Source organism: Homo sapiens, chromosome 5, assembly GCF_000001405.40.
Source record: "Homo sapiens chromosome 5, GRCh38.p14 Primary Assembly".
Taxonomy (NCBI): Eukaryota; Metazoa; Chordata; class Mammalia; order Primates; family Hominidae; genus Homo; species Homo sapiens.
The window spans coordinates 32,091,840-32,118,513 of record NC_000005.10 but is presented as its reverse complement, the minus strand read 5'-3'; the positions used below and the strand labels follow the sequence as shown (position 1 = coordinate 32,118,513).

General features: G+C 43.5%; 1 protein-coding gene and 1 long non-coding RNA gene across 11 annotated transcripts in view, besides 5 other annotated features; one reads left to right on the top strand and one right to left on the bottom strand.

Annotated features, from left to right (window-relative positions):
- The window catches only part of PDZD2 (PDZ domain containing 2), a 471,802-nt gene continuing 452,709 nt past the window's right edge, over positions 7,582 to 26,674 (bottom strand). For 7 of the 8 annotated variants that reach the window (XM_005248269.5, XM_011513992.3, XM_011513994.3 and 4 more), the window contains 6 exons: positions 25,490 to 25,607; positions 21,134 to 21,235; positions 19,880 to 20,150; positions 17,551 to 17,652; positions 17,275 to 17,409; positions 7,582 to 10,545 (listed from right to left, as the gene is read on the bottom strand). In XM_005248269.5, the coding sequence (XP_005248326.1) occupies positions 10,379 to 10,545; positions 17,275 to 17,409; positions 17,551 to 17,652; positions 19,880 to 20,150; positions 21,134 to 21,235; positions 25,490 to 25,607 (895 nt within the window). In that variant the 3' untranslated portion in view covers positions 7,582 to 10,378. The remainder of the gene's footprint in view (positions 10,546 to 17,274; positions 17,410 to 17,550; positions 17,653 to 19,879; positions 20,151 to 21,133; positions 21,236 to 25,489; positions 25,608 to 26,674) is intronic. The other variant, NM_178140.4, reaches the window with a different exon arrangement.
- On the top strand, positions 10,323 to 24,903 carry LOC105374711 (uncharacterized). Of its 3 annotated transcripts, none has more exons than XR_007058716.1 (4): positions 10,323 to 12,226; positions 12,334 to 12,390; positions 14,562 to 20,203; positions 20,669 to 24,903. It is a non-coding gene; the product is annotated as an uncharacterized LOC105374711 (long non-coding RNA). The 3 variants fall into 3 exon arrangements; XR_007058715.1 differs by having other exon boundaries at positions 10,544 to 12,226; positions 14,565 to 20,203; XR_925897.3 differs by lacking the exons at positions 10,323 to 12,226; positions 12,334 to 12,390 and having other exon boundaries at positions 13,799 to 20,203.
- Positions 19,611 to 20,810: an enhancer, noted in NCBI's record as "CDK7 strongly-dependent group 2 enhancer chr5:32097810-32099009 (GRCh37/hg19 assembly coordinates)". NCBI's record gives its function as "activates an origin of replication core promoter dependent on BRD2, BRD4, P300/CBP, MED14 and CDK7 cofactors, with strong dependence on CDK7, by STARR-seq in HCT116 cells {active_cell/tissue: HCT116}" and the evidence as "EXISTENCE:reporter gene assay evidence [ECO:0000049][PMID:35650434]".
- Positions 24,884 to 25,383: an enhancer, noted in NCBI's record as "H3K4me1 hESC enhancer chr5:32093237-32093736 (GRCh37/hg19 assembly coordinates)". NCBI's record gives its function as "activates a minimal SCP1, AML or CMV promoter by ChIP-STARR-seq in naive H9 embryonic stem cells {active_cell/tissue: H9 hESC(naive)}" and the evidence as "EXISTENCE:reporter gene assay evidence [ECO:0000049][PMID:30033119]".
- Positions 25,176 to 25,235: an enhancer, noted in NCBI's record as "active region_22437". NCBI's record gives its function as "activates an Ori minimal core promoter by ATAC-STARR-seq in GM12878 lymphoblastoid cells {active_cell/tissue: GM12878}" and the evidence as "EXISTENCE:reporter gene assay evidence [ECO:0000049][PMID:35858748]".
- Positions 25,384 to 25,885: an enhancer, noted in NCBI's record as "H3K4me1 hESC enhancer chr5:32092735-32093236 (GRCh37/hg19 assembly coordinates)". NCBI's record gives its function as "activates a minimal SCP1, AML or CMV promoter by ChIP-STARR-seq in naive H9 embryonic stem cells {active_cell/tissue: H9 hESC(naive)}" and the evidence as "EXISTENCE:reporter gene assay evidence [ECO:0000049][PMID:30033119]".
- Positions 25,688 to 25,857: an enhancer, noted in NCBI's record as "experimental_84522 CRE fragment used in MPRA reporter constructs". NCBI's record gives its function as "activates a minimal promoter by MPRAs in K562 erythroleukemia cells, with activity observed for both the introgressed and non-introgressed 5:32092848 variant alleles {active_cell/tissue: K562}" and the evidence as "EXISTENCE:reporter gene assay evidence [ECO:0000049][PMID:34662402]".

The following is a 26,674-nucleotide window of genomic DNA, read 5'->3' as shown; positions in this document are numbered from 1 at the left end:
GCGTGGCTAATTTTTAAATTTTTTGTAGAGATTGAGTCTCACTATATTGCCCAGGCTGTTCTTGAACTCCTGGCCTCAAGTGATCCTCCTGTCTTAGCTTCCCAAAGTGCCGGGATTTTAGGTGTGAGCCACCCCACTCAACCCTCAGATTCAAATTTACAATTTATAGGGTTTTTCTGTCTTCTACTTTTCTATATCAAGAATGATGGAAATTACTGACAATAAAATATCACATAGTTATTCATTTGCTTCCACATAAGACATTCTCAAAATAATAGTATTAGCACTATACCAACAATTTGATTACTTAAAAATGAGTTTTTAATAAGACTTTTTTATATGCTTGCTCCGTTCACCTCCGCCACCACCCTTTTTGTAGTTGGGCTACATCTACATTGTAAGAACATGTAGTCATTATATACTTTAATCTTTTCCTTTTAACCCTTCCTTTAGTCTCAGCTCTTCAGGTAAATACCTATTTAGTGCTCATCACCATTCCCAGTGTCACTGCCTGGCCATCATTTTGATTGCCTTGCTCATTTGTTGTTGGATTCTTCAGAAAGGGTTTGTGAGAATAATAGTCCTGAATTTTTGTATGCTGATGGCAGTTTATCTGCAGCCTTTTATTTGAAAGTCAGTATGTCTGGATAAAATTCTTTTTTTTTGAGTTGGGAGTCTCACTCTGTCGCCCAGGCTGGAGTGCAGTGGCGCGATCTCGGCTCACTGCAACCTCTGCCTCCCAGGTTCAAGCGATTCCCCCGCCTCAGCCTCTAAGTAGCTGGGATTACAGACATGCGCCACCACGCCCGGGTAATTTTTGTATTTTTAGTAGAGACCATGTTTTACCATGTTGGCCAGGCTGGTCTTGAACGCCTGACTTTGTGATCCGCCTGCCTCGGCCTCCCAAAATGCTGGGATTACAGGTGTGAGCCACTGTGCCCGGCCAATAAAATTCTTAAGTCACATTTTCTTTGGGTAACCAAAGTATGTTCTTAGCATAAAGCATTGCTGTCAAACAATACTAGGATTATAATATGATAATGATTTTCTTTCTCTCATAATTGCCTTGCTGTTTTTGCCTGGATGCTCATGGGATATTTTCTCTCCGGTATTTTTCCAATGTTACTAGAGTGTGTTTTTGTCTTGGTTGTTCTGGATCAGTATTCCCAAGTACATGGTGTGATCTTTCAACATGTAGTGTTGACCATTTTTTAATTCTCAATTTCAGGAAAATTAAAATATTTAGTCTTCTGTTCACTTGTTCAGGTTTTCCTTTTGAGGGACTCATTTTCCATCTTTGTGTTTTGCTGGGGTTTTTTCCTCTATTTCTTACTGATGTTTAAACATTTGTCCCCTTTTTCTCTTCTCTTTCTCTGAAGGCATTATTGTGGTTTATTCACTGGAAATGATCTTTCCACATGACTCATCTTTTCTGAAATTATCTTAGATTTTTTTTCCTGAGTTTTAATACCTGATTTCTGAGTCTTTCTGGTTTCGGTTTATATTATTCATATTCCAGGTCATTTTCTTGATATATTTTATTTTAGCTCATTCTTAGGTACTGAGTTATAGTTCTCACTGGTTTTGTGGGCATAGCTTTCTGGTGTGCTTTTGTTGTCTGTAGGGATTATATTTGTTCCTTATACTTTTTTTTTTTTTTTTTTTTTGAGATGGGGTCTCACTCTGTTGCCCAGGCTGCAGTGTAGTAGTGTGGCACAATCATGGCCCACTGCAGGCTTGACTTCCTAGGTTCCAGCGATCCTCCCACCTCAGCCTCTTGAGTAGTTGGGACCATAGGCATGCACCACCAAGCCTGGCTAATTTTTTGGTATTTCTTGTAGAGAAGGGGTCTCGCCATGTTACCCAGGCTAGTCTTGAACTCCTGGACTTAAGCAATCCACCTGCCTCAGCCTCGCAAAGTGCTGGGATTACAGGTGTGAGCCATTGCACTCAGCCTCTTTTTTCTTATAACTACTTTGTATGGGATCTAACCCAAGATTATCTGCTGTTACTCCTTCTTACATGAAATTGCCTTTCCTGTTCTTTTAGAAGAGAAAGACTTGAGTTGGAGTAGCTTAACTTTAGCCTCTCCCTCTTCTGTTTTGTGGAGTGAAAAGACCTGTATCTGCTCCCCTCATATACTTTTAACTGAATCTTATTTTTTATCCTTGCTCTTGTCCTGCTCAGTTTGGATTCTATTTCCCATAGTTTCTCCTTAGCATGGGGTTTTGAGAGTTCATAGCCCGCATCAGCCCTTTCCTCCTTCATCATGGACTTCACACACTTGCCCACTAGGAGAAGATGAAAACTCTTCCACGCCCAGCTGCTGCTGTCCTGCTGGTCCACTGAGCTTTCCTGGTGATTTTGCGAGGTCATGGGGCCATCACATGCTGTGTTGCTTCCTTCTACTTCTCTTGTACAGATGGTGATTTCAAATTGGTCTTGGTGGTGGTGGTGGCATTTCCCCCACACACTTGTATATTTTGGAGTTTGTGGGGATACCTTTGTATCTAGTTTTATTGTGGATGTTTACTGTGTTTTTCTATATTAACTGTGTGTGTGTGTGTGTGTGTGTGTGTGTTGTGTGTTTCCCGGGTGTGTTAGTGGGGATATGGGGAGAATAGAAAACTATGCCAGTGTTCCTGGCATCTTGCTTGAATCCACTGGGATAGCCCCCGGTAGTTTTTAGTTTGTATATAGTCTGGTTAAATTGTGAGTCTATTGCTTTGTAGATTCTGAATTTAGCTTCATGCTTAGAAGAGCTTATTCACTTTATGATTAAAGGAATATATTTAGGTTTTTTGGGATTGTTTTTGTTTTTGTTTCCTTTCTTGCTTTTAAATCTTTGACCCTTCTGGAATTTTATTTTGATGTCAGGGATTTTGTTGCAAATGGACTAGCTTTTTCCTCTCTCCAAAATACCTAGCCAATTTTCTCAACACCAGTTATTGAATATATTGAATAATCGGTGTGTGTGGTGTTTTGTTTTTGCTTTGTTGCTGCTGATTTAAAATGCCCCTTTTTTTTGAATTTGGAATTACTATATATTTGGGTCTGTGTTCTAGTGGTTTGTCTGTCTAGTTCTATAGTAGAGGAGCCAACATTTTAATTATTACAGCTTTCTGATAATATTTTAATACTAGTTCCCCTCTTACTCTGTCTTTTCAAATTTCTTGTGGCTATTTTTGTGTGTTTATCCTACCAGATGAACTTTAGGATAATTTTGTCAGGTTAAAGAATTTGAGATTATGATTGGACTTATAAATTAGCTTGGGGAGAATTGAGATCTTTATAGTATTGAGTCATCCTGTCCAAGAAGCTATACATATATTTACCCCCCTTTTTTTAGTTATCTCTTACATCCCTTAATAGAGTTTTATAATATTTTTAGGTCTTGGCCAGTTCTTGCTAAGAATAAATTTATATTTTCAGTTGCTGGCATTCATAATAGAGTATTTCTCCCATGGTATATTCTAACTGGTTATTATTTATAGAAGAGCTGGTGGTGGCTCACGCCTGTAATCCCAGCACTTTGGAAGGCCGAGGTGGGCGGATCACAAGGTCAGGAGATCGAGACCATCCTGGCCAACATGGTGAAACCCCGTCTCTACTAAAAATACAAAAATTATCTGGGTGTGGTGGCATGTGCCTGTAGTCCCAGCTACTTGGGAGGCCGAGGCAGGAGAATGGCATGAACCCATAAGGTGGAGGTTGCAGTGAGCTGAGATCGCGCCACTGAACTCCAGCCTGGGCAACAAGAGTGAGAGTCCATCTCAAAAAAAAAAAAAAAAAGCTGGCCGGGCACGTTGGCTCACTCCTGTAATCCCAGCACTCTGGGAGGCCAAGGCAGTTGTATCACGAGGTCGGGAGATTGAGACCATCCTGGCTAACATGGTGAAACCCTGTCTCTACTAAAAATACAAAAAATTAGTAGGGCGTGGTGGCAGGCACTTGTAGTCCCAGCTACTCAGGAGGCTGAGGCAGGAGAATGGTGTGAACCTGGGAGGCAGAGCTTGCAGTGAGCCGAGATGGCGCCACTGCACTCCAGCCTGGGCGACAGAGCGAGACTCCGTCTCAAAAGAAAAAAAGAAAAAAGCTGTTGTTTTGGTGAATGTTAATTTTTGTGGCCACCATACTGAATTTTACTATTTTAATAGTTTTTCAATTGGAACTTTTGTGTTTATATGTACCCAAGTTTTGTCATGTGCAAATCATAATACTTTTGCTTTTGTTATTTATAGCTGTTTTTAAGAATTTTACATAATTGGGCCTGGTACAGTGGCTCACACCTGTAATCCCAGCACTTTGGGAGGCTGAGGTGGGAAGATCACCTGAGAGGAGTTCAAGACCAGCAACATAGAGAGGCCCTGTCTCTACAAAAAATAAAATAAAATGTTACCTAGTTATATTGGCTTATACCTCCAGAACATTGCTTTTCAACAATCATACTTTTGAGCATCCTGTGCATGTGTATTCCTGACGAATGGGAATGTTTCTGGAGTTCCTCCATTAGAGCATGATGTAGGCTTTAGTGTCTGTTGACATCATCCATTCATTCAGACAGAGCTTCGCTCATCACCCAGGCTGGAATGCAGTGGCACGATTTCGGCTCACTGCAACCTCCACTTCTCGGGTTCAAGCGATTCTCCTGCCTCAGCCTCCCGATTAGCTGGGATTACAGGCGCATGCCACCACGCCCTGCTGATTTTTGTATTTTTAGTAGAGATGGGGGTTTCACCATGTTGGCCAGGCTGGTCTCAAACTCCTGACCTCAGGTGATCCACCCGCCTCGGCCTCTCAAAGTGCTGGGGTTACAGGTGTGAGCCACTGCACCTGGCCTCTGGACATCTTTCATGAAGATTCTTTTTCTCTTTTGTCCTGTTAATGTAACATACTACATCTATAGATTCTTAATTTCAAAGTGTTCACATATTCCTGGAATTAACATCAATTGTGCATATTTTCTTTAATGTACTGCAGAATTCTATTGGCTAACATTTAATCAGGATTTTTCAAGTTCATCTTCAATGTCACTTAGATGTCTACAATTTTATTTGACTTGTTGCTTCTAATGTGGCTTTGGTTTGGTAAGGTGATTGTTTTAGTTTTACTTCTACCAGATCTGTATTAATCTCATTAAGTTTTCTTACTGCTCTTTTGAACTTGTGCTGCTTAGAAGCCACGTTTACTTAAGTACATTGAGAGTACAAAACAGTTTATATTTAGAATTTTCCCGAGTCATCTTCCAAATTATATATTTACTTCTTTTTTTTTTTTTTTTGAGACAGAGTCTTGCTCTGTCACCAGTCTGGAGTGCAGTGGCGTGATCTCAGCTCACTGCAAGCTCCGCCTCCCAGGTTCAAGTGATTTTCCTGCCTCAGCCTCCTGAGTAGCTGGGACTACAGGCACGTGCCACCATGCCCAGCTAATTTTTGTATTTTTAGTAGAGACGGGTTTCACCATGTTGGCCAGGATGGTCTCGATCTCTTGACCTCGTGATCCACCCGCCTCGGCCTCCCAAAGTGCTGGGATTACAGGCGTGAGCCACCGCGTCCGGCCTCCAAATTATATTTTTATCTGCCTTTTGCATAATTGTATTTCACTCCTTGTATTCTCCTCCCTTCTCTTCACCTGTTCTGAATTCGTAAGTAGGACCCTTGCTGAATTTGATTGTTCAGTGGGGATAAGTGAATTCTACTAAGCCTGCCATTTGCCCAAGATTGATCAGTGGTGGATCCTTTATAGCTCTCTGTGTTTAAGCATTGTTCAAATCGTCTCTTAGGACAAGAGAAGGAAGTTGGGGACTAGCTGATTTTAATCTTTGAGATACCCAGCTGTTTTGAAGGGATCAGGAGGCTGTGTGGAGTGATGGTGGCCATGGCATTTATGGGGTGAGGGCGAGCTGGGGCAGCTAATCTCTTACTGAATCAGTTAACTGCAGGTTCCTGTTTGGTGGGGGCTCCCCTCAAATCTGGCCTGCCACCCCTGACCTCAAGTGATCCTCCTGCCTTGGCCTCCCAAACTACTGGGATTACAGGAGTGAGCCACCGTGCCCAGCCTGGTTTTACATCTTACACATGGTATGTAGTTTTCCATTTCATATAATGGGTTTGTGGCTATTTCCATTTTAAAACTACCAGAGTTTCCCTCTGTATTTGTTCATTTCATTGGGTTTCGAGGAGGGGAATTATGCAAACAAGCACTCTGTCTCCTAGGAAAAAGCTCTACCCAAGTAGGGGCAGGGAACCAATCAGAATTTCAATTTTGGGAAGTATATAGAAAATCAGGCAGGCAACAGCTTGTTACGTCCAGAGAAACTCTGTGGTATTGAATGGGGCCAAAATGATGACAAATGGCTTTCACAGGAGATTTCTAGGTAAAGAACCGGTAAGGACTGGGGATTAGGATGCTGTGACCAGCAGAAACAGACCTGAAGTGGGGAGGGTGCTAGGTGAAGCAGAGTTCCTCCCGTCTGAGGCCAGGTCACATGCTGGGTCCTGTTCTGAGATTCCTGCAAGAGGCCATCTTGCCTTTTTCCTTGCGTTACTGTAGGTTGGTATCTCCATCTTAAAACCAGGGCACCTAAATAAAGTAGATGCTTTTTTTTTGAGATGGAGTCTCGCTGTGTCGCCTAGGCTGGAGTGCAGTGGCACGATCTCTGCTCACTGCAAGCTCCGCCTCCAGGGTTCACGCCATTCTCCTGCCTCAGCCTCCCAAGTAGCTGGGACTACAGGTGCCCGCCATGACGCCCGGCTAATTTTTTTTTTTTTTTTTTTTTTTGTATTTTTAGTAGAGACGGGGTTTCACCGTGTTAGCCAGGGTGGTCTCAATCTCCTGACCTCGTGATCCGCCTGTCTCAGCCTCCCAAAAAGTGCTGGGATTACAGGCATGGGCCGCCACGCCTGGCCAAGTAGATGCTTTTTATTGAGCTCTGTGAGGTAGGATCCCAGATCATCCAAGTAGGAGGGGGAAGGTGAATGGGTAGGGTTTTTGAGAAAAAGAACATTATTGTGAAAAATGAGAGGAAAAACTGACAAGGAAACAAGTGCTGAGTGGCAGCGAGGGTCCAGTTAAGGCTGGAAACTGTGAATTTACAGCAGCAGCGTTCTGTCTAGTTGTGGGATTTTCCTCTAGGAATACGGTTATAGGAACCAAGATGCTGGCTATTTGGAAGGGTCCAGAATCGCCTGGTAAGACACAACAGTGGGGCAAGGGATCTAAGCCTGTGGGCTGGGCAGAGTTTGCTGTGCTACGCTAGGGTTCTGGTCTGAGAAGGGAATGGAAGGGTGGAGTTCTGATAGGGAGAAAACTGTCAAGGGCTTTTTGAAAGTGAAGACGTGGGAGGAAGTGACCAGGAGGCTGGGAGCGTGTGGTAAAAGAGTAGGATGTTCAATTGTAAGAAAGATTTAGAGGTGGAAAAGTTTTGGATTGTGTCAAGATTGTGAGTGTGGCCTGGAAAAGGGTGGCTAATTTGAGTTCTATTGCCTTTGTACCTCTGATGCATTTAGGTGACAATAAACATTTCTCATCTCAATATTACTCTATTATTAACAAACAAACAGCCAAAAGAGAAAAAAAAAATCAAGTAGTAAGCAGAGTGTTTATTTTTTTTAAAATTACTTAAAAAAGGTTGTTTACAGAGATGTGGATTTATATAACTTGGTGACAACATTTTTAAAATGTACAGGCTATTTCATATTATTGCACTTACTCTTTAATATATAAGGCATTTTACTTTACATAAATAAAGGTTAATGTATAATATCATACAAAGTTATGGTGCCAATTAAGTCAACCATCAAATTCAATGAGATGTGTGGGAAGATGGAAATGAAACCCAGCCTACTTTAATCTTCATGGTATATTCTTGCAACTACGGTTTACTTGTTATAACACATATTTATTTACCCTCATAGCTTATTGTGAATGACTGACCAGTTAAAAAAAAAGAAACAATGACAGTTTTAGTAGGACAATACCATTAGTGTTCACTTCAGAAAGTGTGGGAATTTATTAGGCTAATTAGAAATACTAGTCATGCCTTGAACACTGAAGACAAATAAATAGCTTTCTATCTATCTTAGGGTCAAAGACAGTTTAGCTTTTGCTTCTTCCCTTAAATTTCAACTGTTTGTTGGCGAGGGAAACCTTCTGGCAAGATGTAGTAGCAGTGGCTGATGACTTTAGCATAGTGTATGTGGTAAGCCAGAGGTCTACCCTTGTACTCCAGATATGAGGATTAAAAAGACTTGCGGAAGGAGACCATTCCATTTGCTCCACATTGCACAAGAAATTCCTGTCTGTTCACATAGGGCTGTGCGTTTATTAATTAATTATTATTAGGCACAGCTGTAAGAGTGGAGGCGAAAAGCAGTTTTCAGTGTTGTTGACTTGAAATAGTCTTTGATTTAGGCAAGAAAGCAGAAACCACAAAACTGACCCCAGAGACTGAAAAACAATCAATCAATATCTATCAATCAAGCATGCACCTTGCACTGACTTCCTACAGTATTCTACCTGTAACTGTAGTGAAAAGTAGAAGTAAAATCAATAAGACCTTTCTAACTAACTCCTGTACCATATTTTCCTTTGTATTGCCAGTTGATGAGAAATCTGGACTCAGACAAGCCAGCTATTTCTCTCTCATCTGAAGGACCTCTCTAGGCCGACTTCAAAGATGTTTAGTGGGATTGGTCATTCAGAAAAATGATGATGTACAAAGCTGATGGCTAAAGCCCCTCCATGAATCTGGGGGTCACAGCCATAGACCCAAGCTGTAGGTTATTTAAAGAAGTATCTCCAACATAAAATCTTAGTGTCATGCACACAGGTATGGCAAATGCACTCTCCACTCATGTTGTCAGGGCTCAACGGGTTGGTTTGTGCCACTGAAGACGACCTGGCTTGTAACTACATTTCTGCTCCTTTACCTTGACTCACCCTGTTTCTCCTCCTCTTTATGACCCGATGAGAGTTTGGAATTATTTACCTAAGAAAATAAGGTACATCATGAGGAGAGAAAAGCCAGCTATGTGACGACGAACGGAATATCCAATCGGAATAGCTACTGGGAAGCAGCTCATGCCACCAGAGGAGGAGTGGCCAGAGTGAGTTTCCCAAGTAGCGTGAGTCACGACAGTCTTCTGTAGGAAAACATTTTTGGCAAAAGGAGGAAATTGCAAAGCGGGAAAACGAAAACAGCAAAAACTTAAGTCACTGCAGTTGTCATTATACTAGGTCAAGAAAAGAGATCCAATACTTAGAATGTTACATTTCTTAAACATGTTGGGAAAGAGGGAAAAAAACCAACCAGTCTCCTAAAAGGATTCCATTAAGCTCCTCTATTTGGATTGTACATACATTGTCTATAAATCCAAGGACACTTAGAAAGATACTTGATTTCTAAAAATTTAGTTTAAATTCATGGTTGGAGTGCATAAAATTCAGAAATGGAAACCCAGTGACTGACTGACTTGTGATATTTTTGTCTGCTCTTGGACTGACCAGTCTTGAATTCAAGCACTTATCAAGACAGGTTCAAAAACTAGTTGTAAGGTGCTTTTAGATGTTGACCTTTCTGCTCCCTCTAAGCAGTGAAGCTCATGGCTATTTAATACAGCTTATCAGAAGTGCTATTCTGTAAAACAGCCTTATGGCTTACACTTTTGAGATAGAAAATGATCAATACTTCATGGTGATCAATAACCTATTGAGTTGAACTTTGCATACGTACATTATACATTACACTCACTAAAAAATACTCTCAATTAATTATTTTGCTTTTTCCTTTTTGGACAATTCCTGAGCTCAGCCTAACAGGTCATAATTCATTTTTTTAAGTAAGTCTTATTCTCTTTTCAGGGTAACATATACAGACCTACATCTCCTCCTTCCATTGAATGTGCCTAAAAGCATTCTGTCATTTACTTACAAAATCATACAAAATGATTGATTGTCCTCTTAGGTGTGACATTTGTGTCCCCCTCAGACTTTTAGTTCCCTGATCACCAGGATTGGGTATGTTGGGAGAGCTGGCAAGAAGGAAGCAAAGGTCTAGCTAAATGTTTGTTTGTTTCAAATAAAGAAGGGTGTGTCACATCTTGTATCCCCATCAGTAAACATAACATAAAGGTAGGGGACAGGCACTGGAACGAAGGAACCCTCCCGGCCTGGGTGACGCAGGTGGAAGGCTTCTGGAGTTAATTTCATTGCTGTTGCACATACAGTTAAGTCAGGCTTCATGTGTAAGCACAAGCTTGGAGATTTTTATAGTCCGTGTCTGTACCAGTGTTGGCCATTTCAACAACCTGTGGTTTAAAGAAGTCACTCTGATTTGCTAAAGAAAGAAGAGAACTGAGAAAATGATTCTTGTTAAAATTCATGAAGAATTCCTATGCTTTCTAATTAATAACTGCACAGGTCCTTCTGGGACAGACTTCATAATATTCCAGGCATCAAAGTGCATGAGCCCAACCAGAGGTTTCCCATTAATAGCAAGAATTTCATCTCCAGCTTCTATTATTCCAGCTTGTTCAGCCGCACCACCTACGAGAATAAACACAGAATAATTAATAGCTTGGCAGTTTCATAGTATTCAAAAATCCTAAGTAAACTAAAAACTTTTAAGTGATAAAAATATCTAAATAATATATTATTGAATAGAGAAATATTTCTTAGAACACAAAAAGCATATATCCATAAAAGTAAACTGGTCTACAGAAAACAGTGCAACTCTAGCCCTCCTGCCGCCCCTCCAAACATAATCTGTAAGATAAAAATAAACTGACAAGGGGAAGATACTCTCTATGTATTTAATCAACAAATGGTTAACATCCAGACTAAAGAGCTACAAGTCAACAAGAATAACACAAAATAAAGTTGGGGTAAGGAAATCAACAGCTGAACTCCAAACAGCCAGTAAACACAGAAAAGCAGGTTCAACTTTTTTTGTTGTTGTTGAGACGGCCTCACACTGTCACCCAGGCTGGAGTGCAGTGGTACAGTTTTGGCTCGCTGCAGCCTCCGCCTCACTGGGCTCAAGCGATCCTCTCACCTCAGCCTTCAGAGTAGCTGCTACCACAGGCATACACCACCATGCACAGCTTTTTTTTTTATATTTTTGGTAGAGATGGGGTCTTGCCATGTTGCCCAGGCTGTCAGCTTCTAATTGTTAACAGATTCTGGCTGATATATGCAAGTTCTGAGAATCAGTGATTATGTGCTCATTAGTGACCATGGGGACTACTTACTTACAGAGTTTAGCATGTTCACATTATAGCTTTGTCTAGCTTTGTATGAGCTTTGAAAAAAATGCAAGTGTAAACCCTCCATTTACGTTCTCACACATATACTTCTAAAGGTACACCAGCTATGGAGGCATCTTATGGAAAAAAAATGGCATTGAAAGAAAAAGTCCCAAGTGTGAAAAAAATTTTCTCAGAAATTTTGATTAGACCTCAAAAGACTGAGCAGATGTATCGATTTCATCCTAAATTACTGAAAGTCGTTATTGAAATTATTGAAATAAATATTATGTGATAAAAATACAGCTTGGAAGAAATCCAGCCCACACAAGGACAAAAACATTTTCTGTGGTAAATGATAGAGGCAGTTAGTTACATTAGAAGAGAGACCTCACCAATATCAGCCCTGTAGTGGGCCCCAGGAAAATGATTTGGTCCCTAGTCCTTGCTTTTCTTGAGATAGATACATTTTTGGAAGGACCAAAGAACCAATTATATTTGTGTTAACTTAGTACCCAATGTCCTATTCTAGCATATTAACCGAAGGCCTTCAGGTTATGTGAAACAAAAGAATTTTGTGAGTGTTCACCTGGGCTTCAGGACATGGGAGGTTCCAGGCAACCAGAACAGCCTGACGCACACTGAAGGAGCAATCAGACTGGGTTTGGTCTCAAATCTGTGACTTCAGGCAAGTTACAGATTTCTCCAAACTCCAGTTTTCTCATCTGCAAAATGGTGATGATGATATCTGTCTTGTTATCTTACTAGGTTGTTAGAAGGACTGAATGAGATGAAGTAGAGGAAAGTCTTCTAGGACAGGGGTCCTCAACCCTTGGGCCACAGACTGGTGGCAGGAGGGCTGCACAGCAGGTGAGCAGTGGGTGAGTGAGCAAAGCTTCCTCTGTTCACAGCCTCTCACCGTCACTCACACTACCACCTGAGCTCTGCCTCCTGTCAGATCAGCAGCAGCATTAGATTCTCACGTGAGTGTGAACCCTATTGTGAACTGCATATGCGAGGGATCTAGGTTGCATGTTCCTTATGAGAATCTAATGCCTGATGATCTGTCATTGTCTCCCATCACCCCCAGATGGGATGCCTGGTTGCAAGAAAACAAGCTCAGGGCTCCCACAGATTCTACGTGATGGTGAGTTGTATAATTATTTCATTATATATTAAAATGTAATAACAGAAATAAAGTATACAATAAATGTAATGCACCTGAATCATCCTGAAACCATCCCCCACCCAAACCCTCACCATGGAAAAATTGTCTTCCACAAAACCAGTCCCTGGTGCCAAAAAGCTTGGGGACTGCTCCTTTAGGAAACATTCAGTGTTGTACAAAGCAGAGGTTTGCCAGCTTTTGGACTTTTTACACAAGAGAGAAATAAATTCTCTCGTTTAAACCACTGCTATTTTGGATTTCCTATTACATGAGGCCAAACTGAATCTTAACAGATTTGAGCAGGATATGTCTCTCTCTCCATTTACTCATAGATTTTTTAAAATTGTCCTTTAGAAAGCTTTTATGCTTTTTCCCAAAAAGGTCTTGCATAGCTTTTGTTGAACACATTCTTAGGTTCCTTATGCTTACCATGAATTGGTGTCACACAGTGCACAATCTGCATTTGGCTTTTTTTCATTCAACACTGTTTTTGAGCCGGTCCCAGTTAGTATATAGAGAGAGGTGTAATTTATTTTTTCAACTGCTATTTAGCTTTCCTTTAGATGAATATATTTTATTCTGCTACAGATAGAAATTTAAATTGTTTCATAGCTTCCATTTTCGTAAGCACTGCTAAAATTTTCCTTAAAGATTAACCAGTAGATACTTGCACGAGAAAAAAAATGTGTTTTCCTTTCTCCACATCCTTGCCAACACATCATAGTATGAGATTTTTTATTTTTGGCCAACTTGATAGATTAAAAGAATGATTTATAATATTTCTAATTTTCATCCAATACATTTAAGTTTGAGCATCTTCCTGTGTTTCTTGGCCACCTAGGTTTTAACTTCTGTCCATTTGCTATTGCTTTCTTTACCCAAACTTTCTCTCTTGTATTTTTCTTACTGAATTATATAGTTCTTCATATATTCTGGATTGATTGATTGATTGATTGATTGTTTTTTTTTGAGACAAGGTCTCCCTCTGTCACCCAGGCTGGAGTGCTGTGGCACAACCATGGCTCACCACAGCCTCGACCTCCTGGGCTCAAATGATTCTCCCACCTCAGCTCCTGAGTAGCTGGGACTATAGGTGCGTGCCGCCACACCCGAGTAATTTCTGTATTTTTTGTAGAGGTGGAGTCTCGTCATGTGGCCCAGACCGGTCTTGAACTCCTGGGCTCAAGTGATCTGCCCACCTTGGTCTCCAAAGTGCTGGGATTACAGGTGTGAGCCACGGTACCCTGCCTATTCTGGATATCAACCCTTTGTTTATTAAATATATTGTAAATATCTTCTAATCACTTACTTTTGAATTTGCTTATAAATTTTGCCATATAATGAACATTTTATATGTTTTTTTTTTTTTTTTTTTTTTTTTTTTTTAGATGGAGCCTTCTCTGACCCCAGGCTGGAGTGCAGTGGTGTGGTCCTGGCTCACTGCAACCTCCGCCTCCTGGGTTCAAGTGACTCTCCTGCCTCAGCCTCCTGAGTAGCTGGGATTACAGGCATGCACCACAATGCCCAGCTAACATATTTTTAGTAGAGACGGGGTTTCACCATGTTGGCCAGGCTGGTCTCTAACTCCTGACCTCAGGTGGTCCACCCACCTTGGGCTGCTTAGGAGGCTGAGACACCAGATTCACTTGAACCTGGGAGGCAGAGATTGCAGTGAGCAGAGATTGTGACACTGCACTCCAGCCTGGGTGACAGAGCTAGACCCTGTTAAAAAAAAAAAAATTCTTTATTATTCAAATGCTTGTTCTGTAATAACCTTACTCAAAGAAATCAGTCTTGCTATATTGTTTTCTAATGCTTGAGCTTAAAGACACAGGAAAACAAAATGAACAGAAAACCTGTACTCATGAAATTTGTAAATATGAAATACGAGATAAGGTGAATCCTGACCTCAAGTGATTCGCCTGCCTTAGCCTCCCAAAGTGCCGGGATTACAAGCATGAGCCACCATGCCCGGCCAGATAATGACATCTTTAGTCTCACTAGTTTCCAAAGGTGGGATCTGCCGTATCATACTCAGAAATACTTGAATGGCTTTCCCCAAGAACAAAACCACAGGCTTGCACACGAGAGCATCTAAAGCGCTAGTCTGTGGGACTGACAATTTTCTTCTTCTCTATCCATTTCCATAGCAGTTTTCACAGATTTGTGGCCAGATGCTAGAGACAAAGGCTGAGAAGTTGTCCAGGACGTCATATTCTTGCTTTGCTGGAGGCAGATCTGAAGGATGTCATCTCTCCTGTGGCTTCTTCTAGTGTGGGGTCCCGAAGCCTGGCTTCCCCAGCCGATGTGCTGCTTTAGTCAGCGTCTGCCCTGGTCCTTCGGTTCGCAGGCTCACACGCTTTTTTGGGTTGTGTCCCTTTGGACTGCAGAGGCTACGTGTCCTGTGACCAACCACGAAGGCGGCCACTCCCGCTCCCCTCAGGAGTGTCTTAAAATACCTCCATTTTAGCTACCCTATTGAATGACAGGTTAGCTGGGTGCTGGGTTTTCAGGTGATGGACATTTTCCCTCAGTCCTCTGAAGGTGTTGCTGGCTTCAGGCATTGATGCCGCCACTCTGATTGTTGTATGCAGTGAGCAAACTAGAATTTTCTCTTGGCTTTCTAGATTTTCTTCTTTATATTCTGAAACTTTATTATATCAAGGTTTGAATTTTATTTTTTTTGGAGACAGGGTCCTACTCTGTCATCCAGGCTGGAGTGCAATGGTGCAGTCCTGCTCACTGCAGCCTCCAAGTCCAGGGCTGAAGCGATCCTTCTGCCTCAGCCTCCTAAGTAGCTGGGATCACAGGTGTGCACCACTCTGCCTAACAAGGCTTGTTTTTTGTTTGTTTGTTTGTTTTAAATAAATACATTCAGATTGTTTTGCCCCTTGATGAGTTTTTCAGTCTGCATAGTCCTGTCATTTTTTCACTTCTGGAAAATTCTTAGTCATGATTTCTGCAAATATTTCCTCTCATTCTGTTTTTTCCTTCTGGAACTCTTTCATTACCTTTTTGTAGTCATCTCTTTATTTCCCTATACTGCATTTTTTAATGGTTTCTTCTGTTCTGTTTTTACAAATTCTATCTATCTTCACATGGATTTAGTCTATTTTTTACTTTTACTCATTAATTTAAAAATACATTTAACTCCATTTTCACTAATGAGGGTGTATGTGCATTTAGTTTTTACTTTTAAAGAAGCAGGGTCTTGCTCTGCTGTTGAGGCTGGTATTGAACTCCTGGGGCTCAAGCAGTGCAAGGAGCTGAGACTACAGGCATGCGCTACCACACCCAGCTTGCATTTTGTTTTTTTTACATATTTGCTTGCTCCTTCTGAATACCCTCTTCGGTCCTGTTTCATGGGTAACATTCCTGCCTCTGTCATGAATGGGGTGTCCTGTTTTTCGGGTCTGCTGGCAATGGATGTTGCCCTGTACCCTTCGTCTGAGAGCTTTCTGTTGTGAGGGCTCTTATAGTCGAGTTGCCACATGCTTGCCTGAGCCTAGTTCTCCTCCTTCTGCTGCTCTGTCAACTTGAACAGTTAACTTGATGAGTCTGAGGTTTTCTCTTCACCCTGGTACCATAGGTTCACACATAACAGAGACCTGACTCCTGATTTATGCCTGTCTTCTGCTTGCTCCGGGCGTTGGGAGCAGGCAGCCTATCCTGGCTGCCACTCGAGTAACGCAGACCTGTTGTGACCACAGTTTACTGGCAAAAGAGCAGGTCCCAGGCCTCTGCATCACGAGATGCTTCGCTCTGGCTGCCCACAGGGGTGCTGAGCCCCTGCTCCTGGGTGGGCACTGAGTCTGCAGCGCCCCTGCTCCTGGGTGGGCCCCAGCCTGCAGTGCACATTTCTCTGTCATCCTCCGCTTCCTCTGGGCCCCAAGGATGCAGCGCTGCTTACCACAGAGGCTTCATTTCCACTTTTGATCCATAGAGGGGTTTTTTTTTAAGTGTAACTATACATTTTTAAAAGTATTTTTTCCTATTAACACTATAGGTCAAGAGTGGAGAGAGGTTTTGGGATTACTATGCAATTGTAGAAATATCTCAAGGTCATTAACTAGATGGTCATTTAAAGAAACAACAATCCTTAGCTAAGAAGAATTGACCTTGTTATTTGCTGACCTACTTACTCTGTTACATACTGTAACTTTAAATGGGTTTCTGATCTATTTGCAAGTATAATTACATATCAATATTGTTCATACAATTATACTGTTAATATTATTAGTACAATTATGAGTTAATATAAGATTTTGAAAAACCGCCCAAGACCAAAAAATGAATTATGCAAGTTGATAAAGAGATGGATATTTACCAAGCATTTCAATAATATCTATCCCCCATCTTTTTTTTCCCACAAAGGCTATGCTTGGACTGTATTCCTTTCTTGCAGTCTAGCATTTACAAGTGTAGTATTTTAAGTCAATGAGATCTTGGCCAGTATTAAGTACTCCTGACTGGCAAGTCTAGTGATGTTACTTAGTGTGGTGTGTTCACATCAGAGAGAGGGGCCCGGAGTAAGGAACTGCTGCAGTACAGGGGTCAGGGACAGATGCTCTGGGGCCAGACTGCCTGGGCTGGAGCCTGGTTCTGCCACTTACAGCTGTGTGACCCTACGTGCCTCAGTTTCTCCTTTTGTAAAATAGGGATAATGATGACACCCACCCAATAGAGTTGCCACGTGGATGGCATGAGTTAATACATGTCCATACAGAATAAACCTTGTATGTCACAAAGCATTAAAAACAGTTTAGGTTTTTTGATTTCTAAATGGAAGGCATTTTTTTCATTGAGACATCCATGGAAAAATGACAGGTGAGAGAAGGCTGACTGAGTTGTCTAGAACATTACCTTTGTACACTCTTTTAATGACCAAGGGCCCATCTCCCGTCACCGATGATTTTCCCCCATCCAGACTCAGTCCCAGCCCAGCCGAGGTCTTCAGCACTTCAACACACAGAGCATCGTGTACAGCCACACTTCTCCCTGCAGCCGCAGCGTGCACCAAGATGAAAATGACAGGGTTGTTCATCATGCCACATGTCCAAGTCCCCCAGGATGCATCGCCTCCAGCCCCATGTACTTCTGGCACACTCAAGTCCCATCTACCCTGGGGCACTTACTTACTTATAACAGCACTTGAGCCCAGTAGCACTGTTGGCCTCCCAATTCTGGGGCTGCCCTCCTGGCTGTGTTGCTGCTGTACTTGCATCCTTTGTTCTGTGTTTTCTGCAAGCATTGGCAAATGCTTTTATGCCCAAGCAGAAATCCCCAGAAAGCAAAGTGCTCTTGTTAAGCCCCCCACACCGGCTGTGCACTTCTCAGTGAGGACTGAAGTCACACTTGGGGACTCCAAATTTGATTTTCTGCCAACCCTGGCTGCTAATGGCAGCAGCAGATCATCCTCTGGTACCAAGACTTGGCAGCACCAAAATGCCCAGTCTCATGTGAGACTGTTAGAATGGACTCCAAAGCCCCCAGGAACCCAGAGAGCTTCCTGCCTCCCCGCTCCTGCCACTCCTGCTCCTGCAAAGGGAAACCCTGCCCCTGGCTATGGCTGTCTTCACAAACACACTCGCTGCCTCTACTGGCATCTTGCTCCACTGTGAGGAAATGTGTTTCCATGGTGATGCCGGCTCTGTGTGCTGGTTTCGGGATAGTGGGCTGGTTTGAATCAGGATTGTAAACTTGCCTTGTACTTCCCTCCCTTGCCTGCCTACCAGCCAAGGACGTCAGAGTTGACTGCAAAGGCACACTTAGTTAATTGGGAGGCAGAGGAAGGACCACGGATGGATTAAACTGCCTGCTTCCTCTGTTCACTGTTCACTAGGGCTGAAGCCAAGCTAGCATTGTCTCCTTTGGACATAAAGGCCAGTCCATTGTCGTGGTTTAAAGAAGGCCACTCCACAGGGTCTGAAGGACATTTACTAACACTGGGGGGAGCATGATTTTTCAACAGGAAAATGGGTCTATTGCAGTGGCTCGAGTCTGGCTGCATACTGGAGTCACCTGGGAACGTGAAACGGTGTCTGGCCCCCACTGCGGCATTTCTGATTTAATTAAGCTGGGAATTTCCTGGGCATCAGGAATTTAAAAGCGTCCCAGCATCTCTACTGTGCAGCTTACTGCACCGGGCCCCCAGCTGGACGCTGTCAGTGTATGGTAAGGAATATAACTGCATAGGACCGGGTAGACCTGGGTTAGGGAGACTGAAGAACAGGAAACTGAGCGAGGTTAAGCCCTCCAGGCGCTCAGCGTTTGATTGATTGCTCTGCAGGGTCTGCTTCAAGACCAGAGGCCCTGAAGTTGCTGCAGGAATACTGAGTGATTGATTATAAATGACAGAAGGACCATCCAGATCTGAGTTCACGAGGCTTAAAAACTGGCAGCTGTGAGGATGAAGTGGTTTCCTTTGACAGTTTACAAGGATCCCACTGAAAGTCCACCAAGTGGTCGAGACAGTTTTGGGGCAAAGGCAAGCATGACAAGATCTGATGACCAAGGTGTTTCCCTGTATTGAGGAGGGCCTCAGCCCTCTGGAAGAGGGAAAGTGAAATGACACAGAAGGAAGACTGGGGACCATGGAGGCATCTGGACAAGAAGTGTTTCTCATTTGTTAAATGGAATCGGAGCCATTTTCAGCAAGGACTACAAACAGCTCAGGCCACAAGGAAGCCAAGTTGTAGAAAGGAATCCAGCTACCCTTATCAGGGAGAGATGTGGAGAAGGAACAAAAGGCCCCTCCCAGAAGGCACTGCCTAACCCATACCCTCTGCTTTGCCCTCTCGAATAAAAAAAGACGTCACCCCTGAATGCCAAGATGCACGGCACTCCAGACATCTGCAGTACTTAACAGGGCATTAAACAGCTCGCACTGCAGAAACAGACGCTGCACGTGGTTCTGAGGCTCTGAATATGGACGGAACGTAGAAAATCTGTTTCTAAACCTCTTCCAGTGAGTTCTTCTTGGTTGACTAAGGCTGCAATTTCTGTTTTCAGACACAAAATACTCTTGCCCCCTCATTTCCTTCTTTTCTTCTAAACCAGGAAAGAATACAACCTTGCTGTTTCCCAAGGATAAATCTTAGTTCTGGAATTTCTCCTTCAACACTGCTCGCCCCGTCACGTAGTTTCCTGTTTTCCTTACCAGTCCTAACAAGAGGCTGTGAATGTAAGAGATTCCTTCTTAGGACACTTAGGGAAACTGTTCTGCAGTCATTTTAAATCTTCCACAGTACAGCTTGAACTACTGGGGGGATTTTTCTAATTTTCTAATTTTTTTCTAATTTATTTGTAACACTGCTTTTGTAAGCAGCATCCAAACACACTAGACTTCGCTACATTTAATTTTTCAGATCTAGAAGTTAGTTAGCTGTTATTTTCCTTCATGTTCAACCAGAATCTCCTCTTTCTGCAGTAGCTCACAGCCTGCTGGTTGTTGAAATGATCATCTTACCAATGCCAGGCTCCAGGGGGATGGTCTTTCTGGACAGCAAACCCTTCCCATTGGCTGTGGGAGGCTCCTGCCGGGCAGAGGGCCTGGGCTGATCCATCCCTTTCTTGATGACCACGAGGGCATCTTTGTGCAGCTGTGCCTGGTGCAGAACCTTCAGGACATTCCCGTGGGCTAAGCCAGCCAGTGAGGCGCCGTTGACTGACAGAAGGAAATCCCCTCGGTTCATAGTCCCTTCCTGAGAAGCCGCCCCCTGAGAAAACACCCTGTGGACCTGGGATGAGGAAAGGAAAAGGGAACAAAAACCAGATCCACTTACGATTTCCGGTAAAAGGGAGATAGTAACTAACTGCGTATCTGTAGTAAAGGAACCTTCCTTTTTTATTTTTATTTTTTGAGAGGGAGTCTCGCTGTGTCACCCAGGCTGGAGTACAGTGGTGCAATCTCAGCCTCCCGGGTTCAAGCGATTCTCCTGCCTCAGCCTCCTGAGTAGCTGGGATTATAGGCACACACCACTATGCCAAGTTAATTTTTGTATTGTTAGGAGAGACGGACAGGGTTTCACCATGTTGGCCATGCTGGTCTCAAACTCCTGACCTCAGGTGATCCACCCGCCTCGACCTCCCAAAGTGCTGGGATTACAGGCGTGAGCCACCGTGCCGGGTCTTGTAGTAAAGGAACTTTCTAAGGTAGACACTTGCTTTATAAAAAAAAACATACATTCAGTGCGGGGGATGGAACACAAATGTCAATGCCAGTGTCTCCACACATTTTTTTTTAACTCCTTTTTAGTGTCTGACATGGGCCTGGCATCCAGGAGGCAATGGGAATACGAAGATGAATGAGGCCTGGGCTCGTGCAGTGAAGGTGACCCTCTGGATGGTCCTGAAGGCTTTTGAATGATGTAAAATTTTGAGTGACTTTTTGAGACGGGAGTAATTGTATAAACACAAGTTTGGCCAGTTGATTCTAATGTTTTCTACTGCTTAAAATATGGAGGTAAATTATAAGGCTATAGCGAATTGTGTTTATAGGGATTGGAAATGGCCTATACATGTCAGCTCTGTGTTAAAAATGCTTGTCTTTTGTCAACGAAAACCTTACGTACTACTTCTCCCACTTCTCCCTTTTTATGTTGGTAGCTGGGAATGAAATCCAGCAATCTCTGAACCCGCTGATTGGAATTTGTGCCCTGATCACATTCTGAGGCTGCTTGAGGGGGGATTTTCCTGAGAGCCTAATGACTCTGTCACTTACCGTGATTGATTTTGGCTCCACATCTGTCCCTCCTGCCACACTGAATCCCAGACCTGAGCCTTCTTTTCTATTCAAGACTATGAAGCAAACATCTTCTTCATTCTAGTGAAAACAAACAAAAATTATCCTTTGAGCTACAGCTGCAAAAAATTAAGAAAGAAAAACATATCCCCTTGGGCCAGGAGTAAGGAAGCTCTGATGTCAGTCCTCTTGGAGGGGCTTTTCACCACAGGCCCTAAAGGTTCTTTGGCTCTCAGCCAGGCATGGTGGCTCACGCCTGTAATCCCAACACTCTGGGAAGCCAAGGGGGCGGATCTCTTGAGCCCAAGAGTTCGAGTCCAGCCTGGGCAATGTGGCAAAACCCTGTCTCTACAAAAATCAGCCAGGTGTGGTGTTGCACACTTGTAGTCCCAGCTACTCAAGAGGCTGAGGTGGGAGGATTACCTAAGCCCGGAAGGTCACGGCTGCAGTGAGCCATGATCACGCCACTGCACTTCAGCCTGGTTGACAGAGTGAGACCTTGTCTCAAAAAAAAAAAAAAAAAAAAAAAATCATAGTACATAATTTGATCATGATGGGAATCCTTTATTCTGTAATTCTTTAAGTCTACAATTTAGCAAAGCCAGTCCTAGCAACAGCAGAAAGATAAGCGTCAGTGGCAAGAGGCAGGATAAGAGCATATCAAGGCCATGTTTTCTACATCTCCCTCCCCATCATTGGATTTCAGGTACAATTAATTAACTGATGCCAAAAAAATAGCATGGCTAGGCGCAGTGGCTCACGCCTGTAATCCCAGTGCTTTGGGAGGCCAAGGCGGGCGGATCACCTGAGGTCAGGAGTTCGAGACCAGCCTAGTCAACATGGCGAAACCCCGTCTCTACTGAAAAATACAAAAATTAGCCGGGCGTGGTGGCGGACACCTGTAATTCCAGCTACTTGGGAGGCTGAGGCAGGAGAATCGCTTGAACCCAGCGGGCAGAGGTTGCAGTGAGTGGAGATCATGCCAGTTGCACTCCAGCCTGGGTGATGGAGTGAGGCTCTGTCTCAAAAAACCCCCAAAGTTCACTCAAACCAAAACCTAGACTGTCCCGCAGAACTTTTGGGGGAGTTGGGAGGTTGACTTCATGGGCACCTTCAACCATATGTATGCTCACACACGGATTGATGGGGAGAAAGAGGTTGACTAAGCTTTCCAAACAAAAATGGGAATACGGGACCCAGTAAATGGTCTTTGTCCAGCTTCTAGGAGGTAATGTGGTGCTGAAAATAGGAACACTTCTCAGATATTTCAATGTCTTATGGGAGCAAAGAGACAATATTTGAAAATGAGGCCTCCTACGCCGGGTGCGGTGGCTCACGCCTGTAATCCCAGCACTTTGGGAGGCGGAGGCAGGTGGTTCACATGGTCAGGAGATGGAGCCCATCCTGGCTAACACGGTGAAACCCCGTCTCTACTAAAAAAAAAAAAAAAAAAAAGCCGGGCATGGTGGCGGGCACCAGTAGTCCCAGCTACTCGGGAGGCTGAGGCAGGAGAATGGCGTGAACCCAGGAGGTGGAGCTTGCAGTGAGCCGAGATCACGCCACTGCACTCCAGCCTGGGCAACAGAGCGAGACTCCATCTCAAGAAAAGAAAAAAAAAAAGGAGAAGGAAAAAAAAAAAGAAAATGAGGCCCTCCTGCATTCCAGGACAAGTTAAATCACAAAAATTTCAATGTATTCACATTTTTTTCCAGTGGTGTTTAAGGACACAGATATGCTAGAAGCTGACTATTGCGCCAAATTTTGCCTCTGAGAGCCTCAGCACAGTCTCAGGGCGGCCAGATCAACCATCAAGAGCTCTCCAAGGTTTGGGTGTGTTGAAGTCAGGAGGCCAGGGTTTGTTTTCAGCCTCGAAGCCTCGAATCTCTCACAGCACTGCCAAGGACACAGAAAATAGTTTTGTGCAGTTCTATTTTTAGTACCTGCAAACCATACTCATTGGAAAAAGCAAGGCAGGAAGCTTCTAGACTGAGGATGGCAGAGTAAGGATAGCCCTGCTCAACGCTCCTCTCTGAAGACAGTGAGAAAATAAAGGGAAAAGAACGCCGTGTTCTGATATGTAGGAATGATCTTCAAACCAAACCACAACCCTGCCTCGTGGTGAGCGTGAGTAGTAGGGGGTGAGGAAGGCCCTAGAATAAGCCACCCTCGGGCAGCACTGTGGCATGCTGGCCATACTTTGTTTGAGGTTCCTGAAGATGTACATCTTGCTTGTGGTTGGCTGGACAGTCTGGTCTTCTCCTCTGACATTTCATCTAACACTAAAATGTCTGGGGTAAAGGGGGCCTGGCAACGTGTGACCCCACCTGTGCCCCCTTGACTGGTGGTCTCAGAATGAGACTTTCACACATGAAATCCTTCCTTATTGTAATAACAAGTGGGAGGAGGAAGAGAGATGAGGGGCTATTCCCTTTTACTGAAAGCGGAAGTGCTTAGCATCTCAAGACATTTTGTTTTTCTTTCAGAGACAGGGTCTTGCTCTGTCACCCAGGCTGGAGTGCGCTGGCACGATCATAGCTCACTGAGCCTCAAACTACTGGACCCAAGTGATTCTCCTGCTTCAGATTCCCATGTAGGTAGGACTACAGGCATATACCACCACGCCTGGCTAATTTTTTAAATTTAATCTTTTTTTTTTTTTTTTGAGAGATGAGGGGTCTCACTATGTTGATGAGGCTGGTCTCGAACTCCTGGCCTCAGATGATCCTCCTGTCAAGGCATGTCTTAACTGCACAGACCCAAATCAGCGGCTGAGAATCAGAAGGGAGTGGAACCTGAAGGGACTGGTCTCCTTTATTCCAACCTCTCTCCTCGCCTCCTGGCCAACTCCTTACTAGGTGCCAAGGCTGGCTGTTGGCTGAGAAACCACACAGCCCCTCTATATTTGAATTTCTGGAACAGCATTCTTAGATGACTTCAGTGACCCAGGTATACTACCACTAAAGAAACATTCATATTTATTTCTCTAAATAGAAAATATTCATTCATTAGGGTTCAAATCTCTACGTATAGCCCCAAGAAATTGATCTTCAGATTAGTATCCTAGATGTGAACCTGTGGTTTCTTCTGTCAATGTTTATTGTCACAACTGATTTACTGAAAGATTTTATTTGTAATTCCTTGTACTCCAGGGTTCAGATGCTCTTCTACAGGTGACATTTGAACAACACAGGCTCAAACTGTACAGGTCCACTCACACTCAGGGTTTCTTCAGCCTCTTTATCCTTGAGGCAGCAAGACCAACCCCTCCCTCCTTCTCAGGCTACTCAGTGTGAAGATGACAAGGATGAAGCCCTTTATGATGAACCACTTCCACTTAATGAATAGTAAATACACTTTCTCTTATGACTTTTTTTTTTTAATTGAGATGAAGTCTTGCTCTGTCACCCAGGCTGGAATGCAGTGGTGCAATCTTAGCTCATGTCAACCTCTGCCTCCTAAGTTCAAGCAATCCTCTCGCCTTAGCCTCCTGAGTCGCTGAGACTACAGGCACCCACCACCATGTCCAGCTAATTTTTGTATTTTTAGTAGAGACAGGGTTTCACCATATTGGCCAGGCTGGTCTTGAACTCCTGACCTCAAGTGATCTGCCCGCCTTGGCCTCCCAAAGTTCTGAGATTACAGGTGTAAGCCACTGCACCTGGCCTCTTAGGATTTTCTTAATAACGTTCTATTATCTCTAACTTACGTTGTTGTAAGAAGACAGTATATAATACATATAACTGACAAAACTTGTGTTAATTGACTGTTTATGTTATCAGTAAGGTTTCCGGTCAACAGTAGGTTGTTAGTAGTTAAGTTTTTGGGAGAGTTAAAAGTTATATGTGGATTTTCCACTGCTCGAAGGTCAGTGCCCCAACCCTCATGTTGTTCAGGGGTCCACCATATTTCAGGGCAACGGCGGGACTACACCAATGTAACTCTTCTCTCACCAGCAGGTGGCTCCCTTGACTAGTTTATGTCCACAGTTAGGTGGCGAGAGGTATTTCCGAGATGACTAGCTCTGCTTTGAGGACTCTCTGCAAACAAACTCCACACATAGGAGTTAGGAGAATGGTAACTAGTTGCTACTTGGGGGATGAAAACAGCAGTGACACCCATCTGGCACCTGAACATTCAAGACAAGGTCTAGCTTCTGAAGCTGGCTAGCAGCACGTGAGGCCAAAGTCAGACTGAGCTGTGAAACTCGCAACCCAAGGCAGTCCTCCCTCTCCAGGACTCGGGGCGGGCTCTCCTCGGCTGTCTGGGCAGGCAGCACATACCTGGGCACTCACGCGGCCGCAATTCATGTTCCTGAGCTTTCTGTGTTTCACTCACCTCTGATTGTGCTTTCGCTTCCTGAATGAGAGTTAGGATGGTAGATTTCGATCCCACTGACGATAAAACAGACTGTAATCTTTGCTGGTCCCCCGCTGAGACTAGAAGTTGATCCAAACTAAATAATATAAATATATTTGAAGAACATTAAAGAAAAAAGCAATTTCTTCATTTTATAAGAATGCATTTAAAATGATCTCCTTTCTACTATACAAAAGAGAACAGGTATTTTCTGCTCTCTTTTGGTCAAAACTTCCATTCCAAACTAATGGAAGAATAAATCCTGAGTGCTGAACAGAAATGTCATTCACTGCCAATGGCAAGGGGAACTGCTATGAATTCAGAGATCCCCTCAAGAAGTTATGGGACCAATGCTGGAGCTTAACAGGACACTTCTGACATGTTTTAAAATATTCAATACATATGTTCAAGTGAAATATTTTTATTTTTATTGAGATGGAGTCTAGCTCTGTCACCCAGGCTGGAGTGCAGTGGCACGATCTCAGCTCACTGCAACCTCTACCTCCTGGGTTCAAGCTATTCTCGTGCCTCAGCCTCCCGAGTAGTTGGGATCACAGGCACCTGCCACCACGCCTGGCTAATTTTTTATTTTTAGTAGAGATAGGGTTTCACCATATTGGCCAGGCTGGTCTTGAACTCCTGACCTCAAGTGATCCGCCTGCCTTGGTCTCCCAAAGTGCTGGGACTATAGGCCTGAGCCACTGGGCCTGGCTTTTTTTTTTTTTTTTTCGAGATTGAGTCTTACTCTGTTGCCCAGGCTGGAGTGCAGTGACGCGATCTCAGCTCACTGCAACATCAGCCTCCTGGGTTCAAGCGATTCTCCTGCCTCAGCCTCCCAAGTAGGTGGGATTACAGGCGCCTGCCACCATCCCCAGCTAATTTTTGTATTTTTAGTAGAGATGGGGTTTCACCATGTTGGCCAGGCTGGTCTTGAACTCCTCACCTTAAGTGATCTGCCCGGCTCAGCCTCCTAAAGTGCTGGGATTACAGGTGTGAGCCACCACGGCTGGCCTCAAGTGAAATATTTTTAAATATGTTAGAAATTCTCCGTTTAACTCCAGCCACCTCCAAAGTCCAAATTCCCCCGTGCTGTGCTCTCTCTTCCTCTGCATGCCCCTCTCATGTTGCTTTTGCTTAAGTGCCATGTCCTCTAGAAGCCTCTCC